The sequence below is a fragment of the Homo sapiens genome, chromosome 10 (genome assembly GCF_000001405.40).
Source record: "Homo sapiens chromosome 10, GRCh38.p14 Primary Assembly".
NCBI lineage: Eukaryota > Metazoa > Chordata > Mammalia > Primates > Hominidae > Homo > Homo sapiens.
This window is the reverse complement of record NC_000010.11, coordinates 77815329-77831753: the sequence shown is the minus strand read 5'-3', so window position 1 is coordinate 77831753 and position 16425 is coordinate 77815329. Positions and strand designations below refer to the sequence as shown.

The following is a 16425-nucleotide window of genomic DNA, read 5'->3' as shown; positions in this document are numbered from 1 at the left end:
GTTGAGATACATTTCTTTGGCCATGGATGTGCAGTCGCTCCAGCATCATTAGTTGGAGGCTGTCCTTCCTCTGTTAACTTATGCACCTTTGGTGACTTGGGGCATTCCTAGGTTCCTTATTCTGTTCTACAGACCTGTGTGTCTGTCTCCCTGACAGCAGCACACAGTCTTGATTGCTGTAGCTGTATACTAAGTCTTAAATTGGGTAGAGAGTTTCCTCCCACTTTAGTCATTTTCAAAATAGTTTTAGTGATTCTGATGCCTTTTTGTATACATTTTAGAATAGCCGTCTATATCTACAAAAATCTTGTTGGCATTTTGATTTTATTTTTTAAATTAAATTTTATTTTTTTTTTGAGATGGAGTTTCACTCTGTCGCCAGGCTGGAGTGCAGCGGTGTGACCTCCACTCCCTGCAACCTCTGCCTCCCTGATTCAAGTAATTCTCCTGCCTCCTGAGTAGCCGAGGTTACAGGCACATGCCACCACGCCCGGCTAATTTTTGTATTTTTAGTAGAGACGAGGTTTCACCATGTCGGTCAGGCTGGTCTCAAACTCCTGACTTCTGGTGATCTGCCTGTCTCGGCCTCCCAAAGTGCTGGGATTACAGGCATGAACCACTGTGCCCAGCTGGCATTTTGATTTTAATTGTGTTAAACCTCTAGATAAATTTGGGGAGAATTTGTCTTTTTTAAAAAACCACTGTGAAAACTCACAGATATCCCAGCAGCCTTGACCTGACTCTGAGTTATTGGGAAACAAGGGGGAAAGGAACCCATTTTAGCTGTTTCAAATGGCCTGCCTCGTGAGGTTCAGAGCCGTTACGCGGTGGGATGTTTCACCTCCCAAGGGGCTGTCACCGTGGCTCTCTCTGTTCACAGGGAACAGATGGAATCCCAGTTGGAAAAGGAGGCCCGGTTCCGACAGCTGATGGCCCACAGCTCCCACGACTCGGCCATTGACACGGATTCCATGGAGTGGGAAACGGAAGTTGTAGAGTTCGAGAGGGAGACGGTAAGCTGCCTCTGATGGTTCTTCTCTCCTTCTCTGATGGATGAAGGAGGAGACGGTGACCCGCTTGCAGTATCTCCCAGTTTCACCACTCCAAGTTTGGAGGTTCTCCTTTTCCTCCCAGGAGTGTGAGGCATCCTTTCCCAGCAGCTGTCCAGGCTGGGTTGCAGCTGGGGAAGGGCAGGGTCCTCGGAGGACGCTGACAGGGATGTCTGTCTGCAGTGGCCAGAAGGGGCAGGTTGCAGATACTCATAGGTTTCCATCCTGGGGATGGAGTGTCTTATCAGATGAGGTGAAGGGACAGTCCCCCACATTGGAGTGGGCAGCTTCGGGGCTTAAGAGCCAAATGTCTCTGTCACTGCTTTGTGAAATGCGTTGCTGTTGCTGCTGTTTTTGCAGGAGGATATTGACTTGAAGGCACTGGGGTTTGATATGGCAGAAGGTGTGAATGAGCCTTGTTTCCCGGGGGACTGTGGCATATTTGTCACTAAAGTGGACAAAGGAAGCATTGCTGATGGCCGCTTAAGGTAAGAGTTGAGGCCCAGGCTCTGGAGGCAAGGTGGGGCCCTTCTTCCCAGTGCAGAGGACCCGAAGAGAGCCAGGTAGCACTTAGGTGAACGTTTCCCAGCCTTAGACTCACACACAGTCTGTCCAAGGCCTGCAGTCTCAGCAGCTAATAATGCTCCGAAAGAAACAGTGCTTCTCAGTTGCCTCTGAATCTGATTATTCTTTAGTTACCAGGTACTGTCTTTTGCTCCTTTGGGTGGGAAAGTGCTCAAGGGGTATGCGTGAGAGCCCAGGATGTACATGGCATGCTCATTCAGGGAAATAGTCATGATGATAAAATAGCTAACACTATTACAGTGCTATTTGCTGAGTACTGGTTTAAGCACTTTATAGAAATTAATTGATTAATCTTTACAATCCTACAAGGTAGGCGTGATTATTGCCCCCATTTTACATATGAAGACGCTGAGGCCTGGAGGGGCTAGGTCATACAACTAGTAAGTGGTAGGGCCAGGATTTGAACCCAGGCTGTCTAACCTCAGCATTTGCAAATTTCACCACTGTGCACTCCTGCAAGAGGAGATTTTCTGAGCGTGTATGTGAGGCACCCACTCCTTGGCAGTCAGCCCCCTGAGTGAGAGTTGTGGGCGGTAGCCGCTGGTCCCACAGCCTGTGTGGGTGCTGAACTGGCTGTGCCCTTTCTCAGGGTCAATGACTGGCTGCTGAGAATCAACGATGTGGACCTCATCAACAAGGACAAGAAGCAGGCCATCAAGGCGCTCCTCAATGGGGAGGGGGCCATCAACATGGTCGTGCGGCGGAGGAAGTCCCTGGGTGGGAAGGTGGTCACGCCGCTGCACATCAACCTCAGTGGACAGAAAGGTAGCGGGCCTGTGAACATGGCAGAGTGCCTCAGGTGGCTGGGGCCCTTTTTTGTGGACAGGGGCCGGGGGTGCCCCTTAGAGCACCTCATTCACAGGGATGAGGGGCCAATGCCATTTAAATGTAGCCCATGTGCTTTTCTGGCAAGAGGTGGTCTGGGCCCTGAGTCTTGCTTTCTGAGTGTTTGATTCACCAGGGTAGATGTAACTGAGCCCCCGATTGGTGGGACTGGGGCAGGGTGCAGGCGTAGACAGGGCGCAGCCTGCTGACATCCTCTTTTGTAAGAAGATGGTAACAAAGATGAGGTAGGGTGACCCAGGGCTGGGCAGCGAGGCCAGGGGCTACCCAGTGACCTCCTGTGGCTTGCAGACAGTGGCATCAGTCTGGAGAATGGAGTGTATGCTGCCGCTGTGCTGCCTGGAAGCCCTGCCGCTAAAGAAGGGTCCCTTGCTGTGGGAGACAGGATCGTTGCGGTAAGTCTCAAGGCTGGAGCCAGGGTCATCTGCCGTGCATAGGCAGATTACATTTGGGAGGTTTGAGCAAGAAGTAATGAGCAAAGTTTTTATATTTTCCTTGTTGTGGGCATTGTACTATGTGAACATTTAAAAATAGGTTTCTTGATGGTATGTTTCTATTTACTGTAGAAAATTAGGAAATAAAAGGTCTGGGAGGGAAATAAGAATCAATTGCATTGCTACCACCTGTAGATAACCTTTCTCTATCTCTCTCTGTCCCTCAGGCTGGAGTGCAGTGACGCAATCCCAGCTCACTGCAACCTCCAAAGGCCTAAGCGGGAAATAAGAACCACTTGCTTTGGTACCACCTGTAGATAACCTCTATTAACTTTTTTTTTTTTTTTTTTTTTTTTGATATGGAGTCTTGCTCTGTCACCCAGGTTAGAACGCAGTGGCGCAATCCCGGCTCACTGCAACCTCTGACTTTCGTGTTCAAGTGATTCTGCTGCCTCAGCCTCCTGAGTAGTTGGGATTACAGGGTGTGCACCACCATGCCTGGCTAATTTTTGTACTTTTAGTAGAGATGGGGTTTCACCATGTTGGCCAGGCTGGTCTTGAACTCCTGACCTCAGGTGATCTGCCCGCCTTGGCTTCCCAAAGTTCTGGGATTACAGGCATGATCCACAGCACCCAGCTTTATTAACATTTTAAATGTAGTTCTCTACATTTAACATTCTCATGAATGTTTATCAAGGACAATTAAAAAAATTGACATCATTGTGTTGTGACTTTTAAATGCCACCCCTTTTTTTTTAACTAAATGTAATACTTATTTTTAAATTTTTTTGTTACCAAAGTAAGTCCTGTTTGTTGTAAAACAGCCAAGCAATATAAAAATATGTAAAGTGAAAAGTGGCAGTCCCTTTCTTCCCCCTTTAATCCTGCTCCTAGAGATTGTCCCTGCCCCCATTTAGAAGATAAGCACTCAGCCCAAACCATATGTGCCCCTACAAATCTATATATACCTAGATAGATTTCTTGGTGTTGTTTTGCTTATTTATGTACAGTAATGGGATCTGCAATTCGCATCCTACCTTGGATATCTTTCCAAGTGTAGCCTGGCTAATGTTACCCACCTTATGGTATTCTGTTGTTTGATTATATGTAGTTTAAATTATCCACCTATTGATGGACATAGAAGTTGTTTTCAGGGTCTGCAATTGCAAACAGTCCTGCATTGAACTTTACCTGTGTGCACAGAGCCTCTGGAGACATGTAATGGTATCTCTGAGACTAAGCTACAAATGCCGTGAGATTGCTGAGTCATAGGACATGCAAATTTAATACTTCTGACCTTTTAAAATTGAAAATGCCAGCGGGGCACGGTGGCTCACGCCCGTAATCATGGCACTTTGGGAGGCCGAGGTGGGTGGATCACCTGAGGTAGGGAGTTCGAGACCAGCCTGGGGAACGTGGTGAAACCCTGTCTTTACTAAAAATACAAAAATTAGCCGGGCTTGGTGGTGGGTGCCTGTAATCCCAGCTACTCGGGAGGCTGAGGCAGGAGAATCACTTGAACCTGGGAGGCAGAGGTTGCAGTGAGCCGAGATCGCGCCACTGCACTCTAGCCTGGGTGACAGAGCAAGACTCCTGTCTCTAATAAATAAAAAACAAAAACTGAAAATGCCATACACTTTTTCATGGCATACATACAAAATTCCAGTAGTACAAAAGGCAAATCGTGACAACAAATCTTCCTCTGGCTAGACCTCTTGTGTACTGCTTCCCACCCCGATGGCAATCACTGTTAACAATTTATTATATTATGTCCCAGACACTTTCAAAACATGTACATCTCACACATTTTTGGGGGGTTGAGGTAACCTGGATGGGATTATAATATACTCAGTTGCTCATCTTGCTTTTTGTTTTTGTTTTTATTATTATTTTTTAAGATGGAGTATCACTCTGTTGCCCAGGCTGGAGTACAATGGTGTGATCTGGGCTCACTGTAGCCTCCGCCTCCCAGGTTCAAGTAACTATCCTGCTTCAGCCTCCCAAGTAGCTGAGATTACAGGCATGCGCCACCACACCCAGCTAATTTTTGTACTTTTAGTAGAGACGGGGTTTCGCCATTTTGGCCAGCCTGGTCTCGAGCTCCTGACGTCAGGTGATCCACCTGCCTTGGCCTCTCAAAGTGCTGGGATTACAGATGTGAGCCACCACGCCCAGCCAGATTTTAGCAGCATGTCTTTTTGTTTTTATTTTTGTTTGAGATAGCCTCACTCTGTTGCCCAGGCTGGAGTGCAGTGGCGTGATCTTGGCTCACTGCAGCCTCTGCCTCCCAGGTCTAAGTGATTCTCCTGCCTCAGCCACCTGAGCAGCTGGGATTACAGACATGTGCCATCACGCCCTGCTAGTTTTTTTGTATTTTTAGTAGAGATGGGGGTTTCACCATGTTGCCCAGGCTGGTCTTGAACTCCTGACCTCAAACGATCTGCCCTCAGCCTCCCGAAGTGCTAGGATTACAGGTGTGAGCCACCATGCCCAGCCCACATTCACGTCTTTAGATCTGCCCCAAGGCATATAACTGCGTGTCATTCCTTAGTGGCAGCAGCCTAAGTTGTTGACCAGTCCCTCCCGAGGGATAGTCTGGGCATCTCTGCCCTTACTTACATCTGTGTCGTGCTGCATGGCCACTGACATGCTACTTCATAGGGACCCAGGAGTGTGCCCTGGGGTACATTCCTGGGGGTGGGGTTTGCTGGGTCAGAGGACATGAATGTTTAACATCCAGCGAGATCTTCCCCCTTTGCTCCAAAAAGGTCATGGCTTTTGCAGTCCTCCCTGCAGTGTGTGGGGGAACTCATTGCCTCACATCTTTGCCAATGTTTTTCAGATTTTTTGGGGAGCCAGAGTGTAAAAGCTATATGGCCACTATGAAAATTTTTTAAATGTGGATATGTTATAAGGAAAAAACCACAAATTAATTTACTACTTCCAGATAATCACTCTGCAGATATTTTAAAAAGAAAACTTGACTGGCCGGGCATGGTGGCTCACGCCTGTAATCCTAGCACTTTGGGAGGCCGAGGCGGGTGGATTGCCTTAGTTCAGGGGTTCGAGACCAGCCTGGGCAACACAATGAAACCCCATCTCTACTAAAATACAAAAATATTAGCCGGGCATGGAGGCATACATCTGTAATCCCAGCTACTCGGGAGACTGAGATAGGAGAATTGCTTGAACCTGGGAGGCGGAGGTTGCAGCGAGCCGAGATCATGCCTCTGCACTTCAGCCTGAGGGACAGAGCGAGACTCCATCTCAAAAAAAAAAAAGAAAACTTGACTTTGAAATGATTATAGATTCATAGGAAGCTGCAGAGATAGTACAGGGGGGTCCTATGTACTCTTCTCCCTGCTTCCCCTCATGGTTGCACCTTGCATGAGTATAATATCAAAGCTAGCATATTGACATTGGTACTGTGTGTGTGTGTGTGTGTGTGTGTGTGTGTGTGTGTGTGTGGTTGTGTGTGGTTAAACACATGTTGTTCTGTGTAACCACCACCGTAATGAAGATACGTAGCTGTTCTATCAGCACTGAGGTCTCCCTCCCACTGCCCATTTGTAGTAACACCCCCTGCTCCCTCCCATCCCTGCCCCCTGGCAGCTGATTTTTTCTCCATCTCTGTGATGTTGTCCTTTTGAGAATGTTACAGACATGGAATCATATAGTATGTGACCTTTGGAGCTGGGCTGTTTTGATTCCGCACCATGCCTGCAAGATCCACCCAAGAGGCTGCGTGTGCTGGCTGCTTGTTACTTATCGTTGCTGAGCAGTGTTCTGCAATGTGGGTGTATCACAGTTTGGTCATTCACCGGTTGCACATATACTTCTTAAGAAGGTCTGCACATAGCTGTGAGCAGAGATTCCGGGAGCAGGGTTGAGAGGTTCTTTGTGAACACTCACAGGGCCCCACTTCGCGTGGTACTTTCTCTACAAGGCCTTTCCTATCCATGGTCTTGTTTTTAGTCCCCCGCTCTCCCGAGCCACATGCATGTATTTATCTTCCATTTCCTCTGTGGAGGCAAGGAGCTGGGAAGTTCTGAGCCAAGGTCCCACGCCACATGGCCGGGCACAGCAGTGCCAAGATGTTCCCTCCGGGTCCTCGGTGTTCTGATCCCAGAAGGACATGCTCCTCCCCTAGCCTGCTGTGAAGGCTTATGTGTTCCTCTACCTCAGAATCCCCTTAGTTGGACTCCTTGGGCCTCACCAGAAAGACCTCTATCCTTTGCCAACTCCTGACTTTGGCACCTTGCATTTGGTGACTGTCTAGCACAGGAGGTTAGGTAGGCAGAGATCCTGACTGGTAGGCCTGAGGCCGCTCTGCCTGTGGCCTGACATGCTCTCTGTCCTGCTCTAGATCAATGGCATTGCACTGGACAACAAGTCTCTGAATGAATGTGAATCTCTGCTGCGCAGCTGCCAGGACTCCCTGACCCTGTCCCTCCTGAAGGTAAGGGCTGGACCTGGCTCTGCTCTCACGGTCAGGAGTATGGGCAGAGCCCCGGCTCCACATAGCCATGCTACTCCTTGGGGTCACAGGATCCTTGAGAACAGGGTGGGCATTTACTGAGTGCAGAGGGGGCAGGAACCCTGACTGGACGCTGGTCTGAAATCAAAAAACAGCAGTCAAGGCCATGTTGGGCACAGTTGGGTACATTTGAATCTGGACCCGATAATTAGATGATCTTAGGGAATTGTTGCCAGTTTTCCTAGGTATGATGATGGCATTGGGGTTGTTATACAGGAGAATGGCTTTATTTGGGGGAGGTACAAGCTAAAGTTGTTAGAAGTGATGTGTCATGGCCGGGCATGGTTGCTCATGCCTGTAACCCCAACACTTTGGGAGGCCAAGGCAGTCGAATCACTTGAGCCCAGCAACACAGCGAGACCTTGCCTCTACAGAAAATACAAAAAGCCTGGGAGGTCGAGGTGGCAGTGAGTTGTGATTGTGCCACTGCACTCCAGCCTGGGTGACAAAGTGAGACCCTATCTCAAAAATGAAAGGAAGAAGCTGGGTGCAATGGCTCATGCCTGTAATCCCAGCACTTTGGGAGGCGGGTGGATCACCTGAGGTCGGGAGTTCGAGACCAGCCTTGACCAACATGGAGAAACCCCGTCTCTACTAAAAATACAAAAATAGCCGGATGTGATGGTGCATTCCTGTAATCCCAGCTACTCAGGAGACTGAGGCAGGAGAATCGCTTGAACCCAGGAGGCGGAGGTTGCAGTGAGCTGAGATCACGCCTTTGCACTCCAGCCTGGGCAATAAGAGCGAACCTCTGTCTCAAAAAAAAAAAAAAAAAGGAAGGGAAGTGACATGTCATGATATTTGTAACTTGCTTTCCAGTGTTCTGTAGTATCATTATAGACAAAAAGACAATTTAGTGAAATATTTTTGAATCTAGATGGTACATTTATGGACATTTATTATACTTTTCTACATATTTGAAAAGTTTAATAATAGGAAGTTAGAAAAAATAGGCCGAATTTAGAAAACATCTCTTAATGAAATGGCTGGGCCTATTTTTTCTAACTTTCTATTAAGAGATGTTTTCTAAATTAACTATTTTCAAATTATTTGACTTTTTTGGAAGCAGTTTTATGTTTACAGAAAAGTTGGGCTGATACAGAATTCTTAGCACTCTCTCAACCACCCCATCACCACCATCCCCACTCCTGTCCCCAAGTTTCCCCAATTTTGGCATTTTGCGTTAGTGTAGTTAGTACATGCGTTATAATTAGTGAGCCAATGTGGATGCATTAGTATTAACTATAATGCATAGTTTACATTAAGGTTCAGTCTTGGTGTATTTTCTGTGAGTTTTGATGCAGGTGATGACATGTACTACCATTGTAATATCATACAGAGTAGTTTCACTGCTCTAAAAATTCCCTATGCTCCCCATATTTATGCAAGCCCCTGGCAACAACTGATCCTTTTACTGCCTCCATGCTTTTGTGTTTTCCAGAATGCCATAGAGTTGGAATCACAGAGTGTATAGAATGGCTTCTTCATTTGCTAATATACACTTAAGGTTCCTGCACGTTGTTTCAGTTCTTTTTAGTGCTAATTTATATTCCGTTGTCTGGGTGTACCACAAGAGATATATTTTTAACAATGAATTTTTACTTTTATGTTTAATATTTAAAAAAAATATTCAAGACATTATGCAGGTAATTTCCTTCTTTTTGAGACAGAGTCTCATTGTGTCGCCCAGACTGGAGTGCAGTGGCGTGATCTTAGTTCACTGCAACCTCCACCTCCGGGTTCAAGCGATTCTCCTGCCTCAGCCTCCCAAGTAGCTGGGACTACAGGTGCATGCCACCGTGCCTGGCTTATTTTTGTAATTTTTGTATAGATGGGGTTTCACCATATCGGTCAGGCTGGTCTCGAACTCCTGACCTCGTGACCCGCCTGCCTCAGCCTACCAAAGCGCTGGGATTACAGGCATGAGCCACTGTGCCCGGCCCAGATAATTTCAGAAAGTGTTCAAAGTTAAGAAAACTTTGACTCTTCTTTGAGTTCAGAGTGACCAGAGCCATGAGAAAACTTATCCATTAGGGAGAAGCATATGTGTTCATGTGTGTGTGCATCTCTGTCTATCTGTCTCTTTTTTAAGGGGCAGGTGGCCCATTCCTGACCATTGCTTTACCTCTGGGGATGGTTTTCAGTGGCAGCTCCAAGTCCTGCCATCTCACTCTCTCTCTCACTCCTCTGCAATCCCTGCCTAGGTATTCCCTCAGAGCTCCTCGTGGAGTGGCCAGAACATTTTTGAAAATATCAAAGACTCTGATAAGATGCTGAGTTTTCGAGCCCATGGCCCGGAGGTCCAGGCTCATAACAAACGGAACTTGATACAGCACAATAACTCCACGCAGACAGACATCTTCTACACGGACAGGCTGGAAGACAGGAAGGAGCCAGGCCCCCCAGGAGGCAGCAGCTCCTTTCTGCATAAGCCATTCCCTGGGGGACCCTTGCAGGTCTGCCCCCAGGCCTGTCCCAGTGCCTCTGAGCGTAGCCTGAGCTCCTTCCGCTCAGATGCCTCTGGGGACCGTGGCTTTGGGCTGGTGGACGTGCGTGGCCGGCGGCCACTGCTGCCCTTTGAGACCGAGGTGGGCCCCTGTGGGGTTGGGGAGGCCTCCCTGGACAAGGCAGACTCTGAAGGCTCCAACAGCGGCGGGACCTGGCCCAAGGCCATGCTCAGCTCCACGGCAGTGCCTGAGAAGCTCTCTGTTTATAAAAAGCCAAAGCAAAGAAAGTCCATCTTTGACCCTAACACTTTCAAACGCCCCCAGACACCCCCCAAAATAGACTACCTGCTTCCAGGTCCTGGGCCTGCTCACTCTCCCCAGCCCTCCAAGAGGGCGGGGCCTCTGACACCCCCAAAACCTCCCAGAAGGAGCGACTCCATTAAGTTCCAGCACAGGCTGGAGACTAGCTCCGAGTCAGAAGCCACTCTGGTGGGCAGCTCCCCATCCACTAGTCCCCCGAGCGCCCTGCCCCCTGACGTGGACCCCGGGGAGCCCATGCACGCATCACCCCCTCGCAAGGCCAGGGTCCGCATTGCTTCCAGCTACTACCCTGAAGGAGATGGGGACTCCTCCCACCTGCCGGCCAAGAAATCCTGTGATGAGGACCTCACCTCCCAGAAGGTGGATGAGCTGGGGCAGAAGCGTCGCCGGCCAAAATCTGCTCCCAGTTTTCGGCCGAAGCTTGCTCCAGTAGTGATTCCTGCTCAGTTCCTGGAGGTATAGCTGAGCCCCAGGGTGTGGGGAGGGGAGGCCTAGAGAGGGGCAGTTGGCCGAAGGAGGGCTGCTAAGTGGCCCTGCACCAGTGTCCCAGGCCCCTGTTTAGCCTGGTGCCTTTGCCTTTGCTGTTGGACTCAAGTGGGAAGTGGCCCAGCTAGGAGGTAGGTAAGTGGCGTGGAAGTGCATGGTAGTGGGAGTGTGACACAAGAGGGGAACACTTTATTGGGCATAGCATTTGGTTTGCTTTTTTAATAAGAAGCTTTTGAACTTACACAATAAAACCTAGGGCATAGACTTGCCTTGAAGGGCTAGGGAGATGAGGTGGCACGTGTGAGGCTGAGTGGGCAGCGGGACGGCCTGATTGCGTGTGCTGTCATAGTTTCCAGAAGGGTGAGATTGCTGGGGACTGTGGAAAGCATCTCAGGCACCAGTCCACACTGCTCACTGGGGACAAAGAGCTTCGCACAGCCCTCCACATCGGGCAGAGTTGTACGTGCCTGATGCACTTGTGCATTCTCACCTTTTACGTGATCTCTGTGAAAGATTCATTCTCTGTGGTTTTCTTCTGAAGTAAAGCTGCTTCCTTGAAGATGTGTAAGGCAACATGAATGGGCAGCGTTCCCATTCATGTCCCTTCCTGTGCCCCAGTGGGAGGAGCTGGTTCCTGGGGGGCAGAAACTGGCTTGCAGAGCTGCTCAAGCGTTCCACTGTTTGGTTTTTTTTTTTTTTTTCCCCTAAGATGGAGTCTCACTCTGTCACCCAGGCTGGAGTACAGTGGTGCAGTCTTGGCTCACTGCAACTTCTGCCTCCCGAGTTCAAGCGATTCTCCTGCCTCAGCCTCCCAAGTAGCTGGGATTACAGGCACCCACTACCATGCCCAGCTAATTTTTGTATTTTTGGTAGAGACGGGATTTCGCCATGTTGGCCAGGGTGGTCTTGAACTCCTGACCTTAGGTGATCTGCCCGCCTCGGCCTCCCAGAGTGCTGGGATTATAGGTGTGAGCCACTGCGCCTGGCCACACTCCACTCTTTCTAGCAGACACTCTTGCCCTTGCATCTGCAGGAACAGAAGTGTGTCCCGGCCAGTGGAGAACTCTCCCCGGAGCTCCAGGAGTGGGCACCTTACTCGCCTGGGCATTCCAGCCGGCACAGCAACCCCCCGCTATACCCTAGCAGGCCGTCTGTGGGTGAGTCAGCCAGCCAGGGGCTGGGGCTGAGGGTCGGTGTAAACTCGGGATGCCTAGTCTCCAGGGAGAGGGGAGGCAGCATTTCAGAGAGCTGCCATGTGTTTTCAGCCCTGAGGTCCAGAGAACTGGGAAATGCTGTCCTGTCTGGGATGGTTTGTCTTATAGCCATGACATGTCTTAGCTTGTCAACATGCTTTCTCCCCATAGCAACCTGGGAAATAGGAAGCATGAAAGAGACTTCCCCCCTTTTTACAAATGGAGACAGGCCAGGAGCCACAGCCACATTGTGAATTGGTGGTTAAAACTCATCTCCCAAGTCCTTTTCCCAAAAGACTGCGGCTGCGTCCTGGGATACAGGGGAAAGGCTTGTGTAAGTCCTGGGCTGGCTGGGTCCTTTGGGGCGTCTTTTCTCACCAAGCCCATTTCTAGGCACTGTTCCCCGGAGTTTGACCCCCAGCACCACTGTGAGCTCCATCCTGCGGAACCCCATCTACACTGTGCGCAGTCACAGGGTCGGCCCCTGCAGCTCTCCACCTGCGGCCCGAGATGCTGGCCCCCAGGGTTTGCATCCCAGGTATGTGAAGGCACCCTACGCTTCTCTGTACTCCAGCTGCCCAAGCCTGCCTGGACATGGAACCATGAGTGCATAAAGAGGCTCATTGGTGGAGAAGCTTCCTTGCCTGCCTGGGAGGGGACTGGCTAGAGCAGCACAGGGAAAGGGAGCCTTAGGGCTGCTTTCTGAATTCATCAGCACAAGGTTTCAAAAGGTACTGGAAGGACACGATAGTGATAGCAGCTGATGTTTGAGTGCTTATGTCCCAGCCACTGTGCTCAGACCTTTATGAATATCATTTCACCGAATCAACAGCAACCTCATGGGCTAAGTCCTATTACTGTTTCTGTCTTGAAGATGAGGAAACTGGTACTTCATAAGAGGGTGGGCTGGCTCCAAGCCACTCTTATTCATTCATTTGACAGATATTTTTTGAGCACCTACTACATGCCTTGGTCTATCCTAATTATAAGAGGATACATTGCTGAACTAAACAAATTAGCTTCTAGCTCATGTCGTGTGGTTTTTCAAATGTGGGAGGCAGACAAAAAAAAAAAATGAACGAAGTGATATCAGATGGTGCCAAGAGGCTATGAAGGCAGTCAAACAGGGTGACAGGCTGGGCTGTAACTTGGAAGAGGGTGGCAAGTTAGAGTGGGTGGTCAGGAAGGGCCCTGTGGCAGAGGGGATGCTGCTGTGACCAGAAGGATGAAAGAGGCCAGCTGCACAAGACCTGGGCTGGAGCCTCCAGGGAGAAGGGCCATCGGTGCCAAGGCCAGGGCACCCAGGCACAGTCGTGGGAGCTTGTCAAAGGGGCAGCGAGTCAAGAAGAGGTTTGAGGTCACAGGGCACAAACCCTGTGGGACCTGCAGCGGTGATGAAGAGTTTGGATTTTATTCTAAGGACAGTGGAGACCACTGTAGAGTTTAAGCAGGGAAGAGATGTCACCTCATTACATAGCTGGAAAAAGATGCTGTTGAGGCCTGGTCTCAGGGCAGCCTGATGTGGGCGATCCCTGCTCTGCCCTTCATTTTCTTAGGCACGCTGTCCCGAGTGAGGCACATAGGTCCCCTCCCCAAAGTCCTCTGTGCCTTGTCTCTCCTTACCCACTTCCTGGGAGGACAGGTTCCCCCTCCCCAGGCCCACCCAGGTTGCAAAACCTCTGTTTTTTATCACTTCTTCCTAGTGAGCCTAATCCTGACCCTATGGCTGGAGTGGGTATGATACTGACCGCCCCATGTGTGTGGCCCTTTCTACTTCCTGAAGGCTCTTAGTGGATGCCACCTCCGGGAGTGGCTGAGGGCAGCCTGCTATCCTCGGCTGATAATCAGTGGCTCCTGGGCCTCCCTTCTGCCCGCTTGGGAACCCTTGCCTGGTCTGTGTGTTTCTCCCCAGTGGCCACATCTGTTCCTGGTTCTCCTCCCGAACTCCTCACCTCTTGTTTTTACGCAGTGTCCAGCACCAGGGACGCCTGAGCCTGGACCTGAGCCACAGGACCTGCAGCGACTACTCCGAGATGAGAGCCACCCATGGGTCCAACTCACTGCCCTCCAGCGCCCGCCTGGGTAACTGCACCACTTGGACTTTGTGCTGCAGAGGGTGCCAAGCTTTTCATCTCTGCCTGCATCCTAATGTCCAGATCTGCGGGTGGGCTCCCCACACGAGCTCCTGTCACCTCCTGGGACTGAGCTCATTTCTCTACTGGGAAGGGCTGCTTCCTTCATGGGCCAGCCATGCCCATGCTGCTGTCAGAGCCATTGCTTTCGCCTTCCGCTTTCTGTGGGGGCCTTATGGTCATTCAGGTGACCCCTCAGCTAGGAGCCTTGCTCTGTGTCCCTGAGGTTGTTGGCCTCATTCTGGACTGTTTTGTATGGCTCTTCATACATTTTTGTATGGAAAGTGAACCCCAGAGGAGAGTCGGACAAAGGTAGCCCATGGAGATCTTGGGGAACTCTGGCGCTGGGGAGAAAAGATGGAGCAGCTGCCGTGTCTCTTAGGCTGCTGTTCCGTGGCTGGAAGTGAGACTTGTGCGCTCCTGTTCTGGAGCAGTCTGGGCCTGCACAGTTCATTGAGATAAATGTTAAACGTCTGCTTTTCTTGACTGTTCCATATCAAGGCTCCCTTGGGAATAAACAGCAGGGCCCAGCTTTGCATTTATTATCCTGACTGGTAGCCTGGTGGAGAGGAAGGACAGGGTGGTGTTTAACCATGAGGCCTGAAGTTTTGTTCCCTTATGGAACAATAGGTTCTTCGAGTAACTTGCAGTTCAAGGCGGAACGCATTAAAATCCCATCAACACCAAGATATCCGCGGAGTGTCGTGGGCTCCGAGAGAGGTAAGGACTTCTCGACATTCCCATCTCTCCTGCTTTTCCTGCGGTCTGACTCCTCATGGTGGAGTCTCTGGGCTTAGCTGAGAACTTCATAGTCATCTCAGTCAGTCAGTAAAAATTCACTGAGCCCAGCAGTAGGCCTGGTGGTGTGGGGGGTAGGGGGCAATGCAGAGCCTAGCATCTGAGCTCCAGACTATGCGATGCAGTGGGGATAGAGCTGTGTGTCTGGATCGCACCTGCCTCTTGGTCTTGGCTGTTGGGGAAGTGAGATGGGAGTTCACACCGGCATTACCCGCTCCTCTCTGCAGGTTCAGTGTCACATTCTGAATGCAGCACTCCTCCACAGTCACCCCTGAACATCGACACCCTGTCCTCTTGTAGCCAGTCCCAGACCTCAGCCTCCACATTGCCCAGAATCGCTGTCAACCCCGCGTCCCTCGGGGAGCGGAGAAAGGACAGGTGAGCATGGCCGGTCATCGGTGGAGTGGGTAAACCAGTGGACAGTGTGCATCCCGGCAGCGGGCCTGGGCTCTGCAGGGAAGGGGCTTAGTAGAAGCAGCAGGAGTAGCTTGAGTGTCCCAGCATTTGCTGGTGTCACCAGTAAGTGCCATGGGGCACTGGATGCAGGGAGGTGGGGCGTGTGTGGATGGCAAGGCAGGGAGCCAAGAGGGCTCACAGTAGATGATGCTGGAAATGACCTGACGGTGATCGTGCCATCATGGCACCATTTACACCTTCCTGGGCCCTTGTTCAAGCACTTTACGTGTGGCTAAGTCACGAGATCCTTACAGGGACCCTGCCAGTGTCGTTATTATTGTTATCCCTGTTTCACAGTTGAGGAAACTGGATCCAGACGTTGGAGTGACAGACCTGTGGCCACGTGGTTAGTGGCTGGCACCGGGACTCATTCTTACCCTTTGCTTTTTCCCTCTCATTCGAAGCTTTCTGTTGTGAAATAAAATATACACAGGAAGAAAGCATAAATGTGCAGCCTAGCTTTTTACTGGTACTGGTTCATTTTAGAATGTAGGTCCATCTTAGGTTTCAGGTTGACTGTAGGCTTGCTGTCTGTCCAGAGGCACCTCCTCCATGGAATCCGTCACCCCCGCGCACTGTGCACACACATCCCTCTCTGTTGTTCCCCTAGATGGAACTTACTAGATTGTGTTTATATTTAACAGCTTCTGTCTAGATTGTAGATCTTAAAGAGCTCTGATAAACTTACTTTTATTTAATCACCAAAAGAAACACAGATACTCTCTTTCATTTGAGTCCAGAAAGCTGAGGCCTCTGTAGCTGTGAGCCTCAGCAGGGGTGGGCCCTATGTTAAGAAAACATATTTTTTTTTGAGACAGAGTTTTGCTCTTTTCGCCCAGGCTGGAGTACAGTGGTGCAATCTTGGCTCACTGCAATCTCTGCCTCCCAAGTTCAAGGCGATTCTTGTGCCTCAGCCTCCTGAGTAGCTGAGATTACAGGCGCCCACCACCACGCCTGGCTAATTTTTGTATTTTTAGTAGAGATAGGGTTTCACCATGTTGGTCAAGCTTATCTTGAACTCCTGACCTCAGGTGATCCACCCGCCTCGGCCTCCCACAGTGTTGGGATTACAGACGTGAGCCACCGTGCCCAGCCAGAGAAAATCTTATATTTGACTTGAAAATCTGAACTTAAAAGGCAACCA

General features: G+C 50.1%; 1 protein-coding gene across 19 annotated transcripts in view; it reads left to right on the top strand.

Moving 5' to 3' along the window:
• Positions 1-16425, top strand: part of DLG5 (discs large MAGUK scaffold protein 5) — a 149946-nt gene that overhangs the window by 108983 nt on the left and 24538 nt on the right. For 16 of the 19 annotated variants that reach the window (XM_047425998.1, XM_005270276.5, NM_004747.4 and 13 more), the window contains 11 exons: positions 881-1013; positions 1410-1537; positions 2224-2399; positions 2769-2872; positions 7278-7370; positions 9653-10672; positions 11736-11859; positions 12289-12433; positions 13865-13977; positions 14658-14747; positions 15053-15203. In XM_047425998.1, the coding sequence (XP_047281954.1) occupies positions 881-1013; positions 1410-1537; positions 2224-2399; positions 2769-2872; positions 7278-7370; positions 9653-10672; positions 11736-11859; positions 12289-12433; positions 13865-13977; positions 14658-14747; positions 15053-15203 (2277 nt within the window). Of the gene's footprint in view, positions 1-880; positions 1014-1409; positions 1538-2223; positions 2400-2768; positions 2873-7277; positions 7371-9652; positions 10673-11735; positions 11860-12066; positions 12434-13864; positions 13978-14657; positions 14748-15052; positions 15204-15578; positions 15725-16425 lie in introns of those variants that run through there. The other 3 variants (XM_006718057.4, XM_006718056.4, XM_047426003.1) reach the window with 3 other exon arrangements.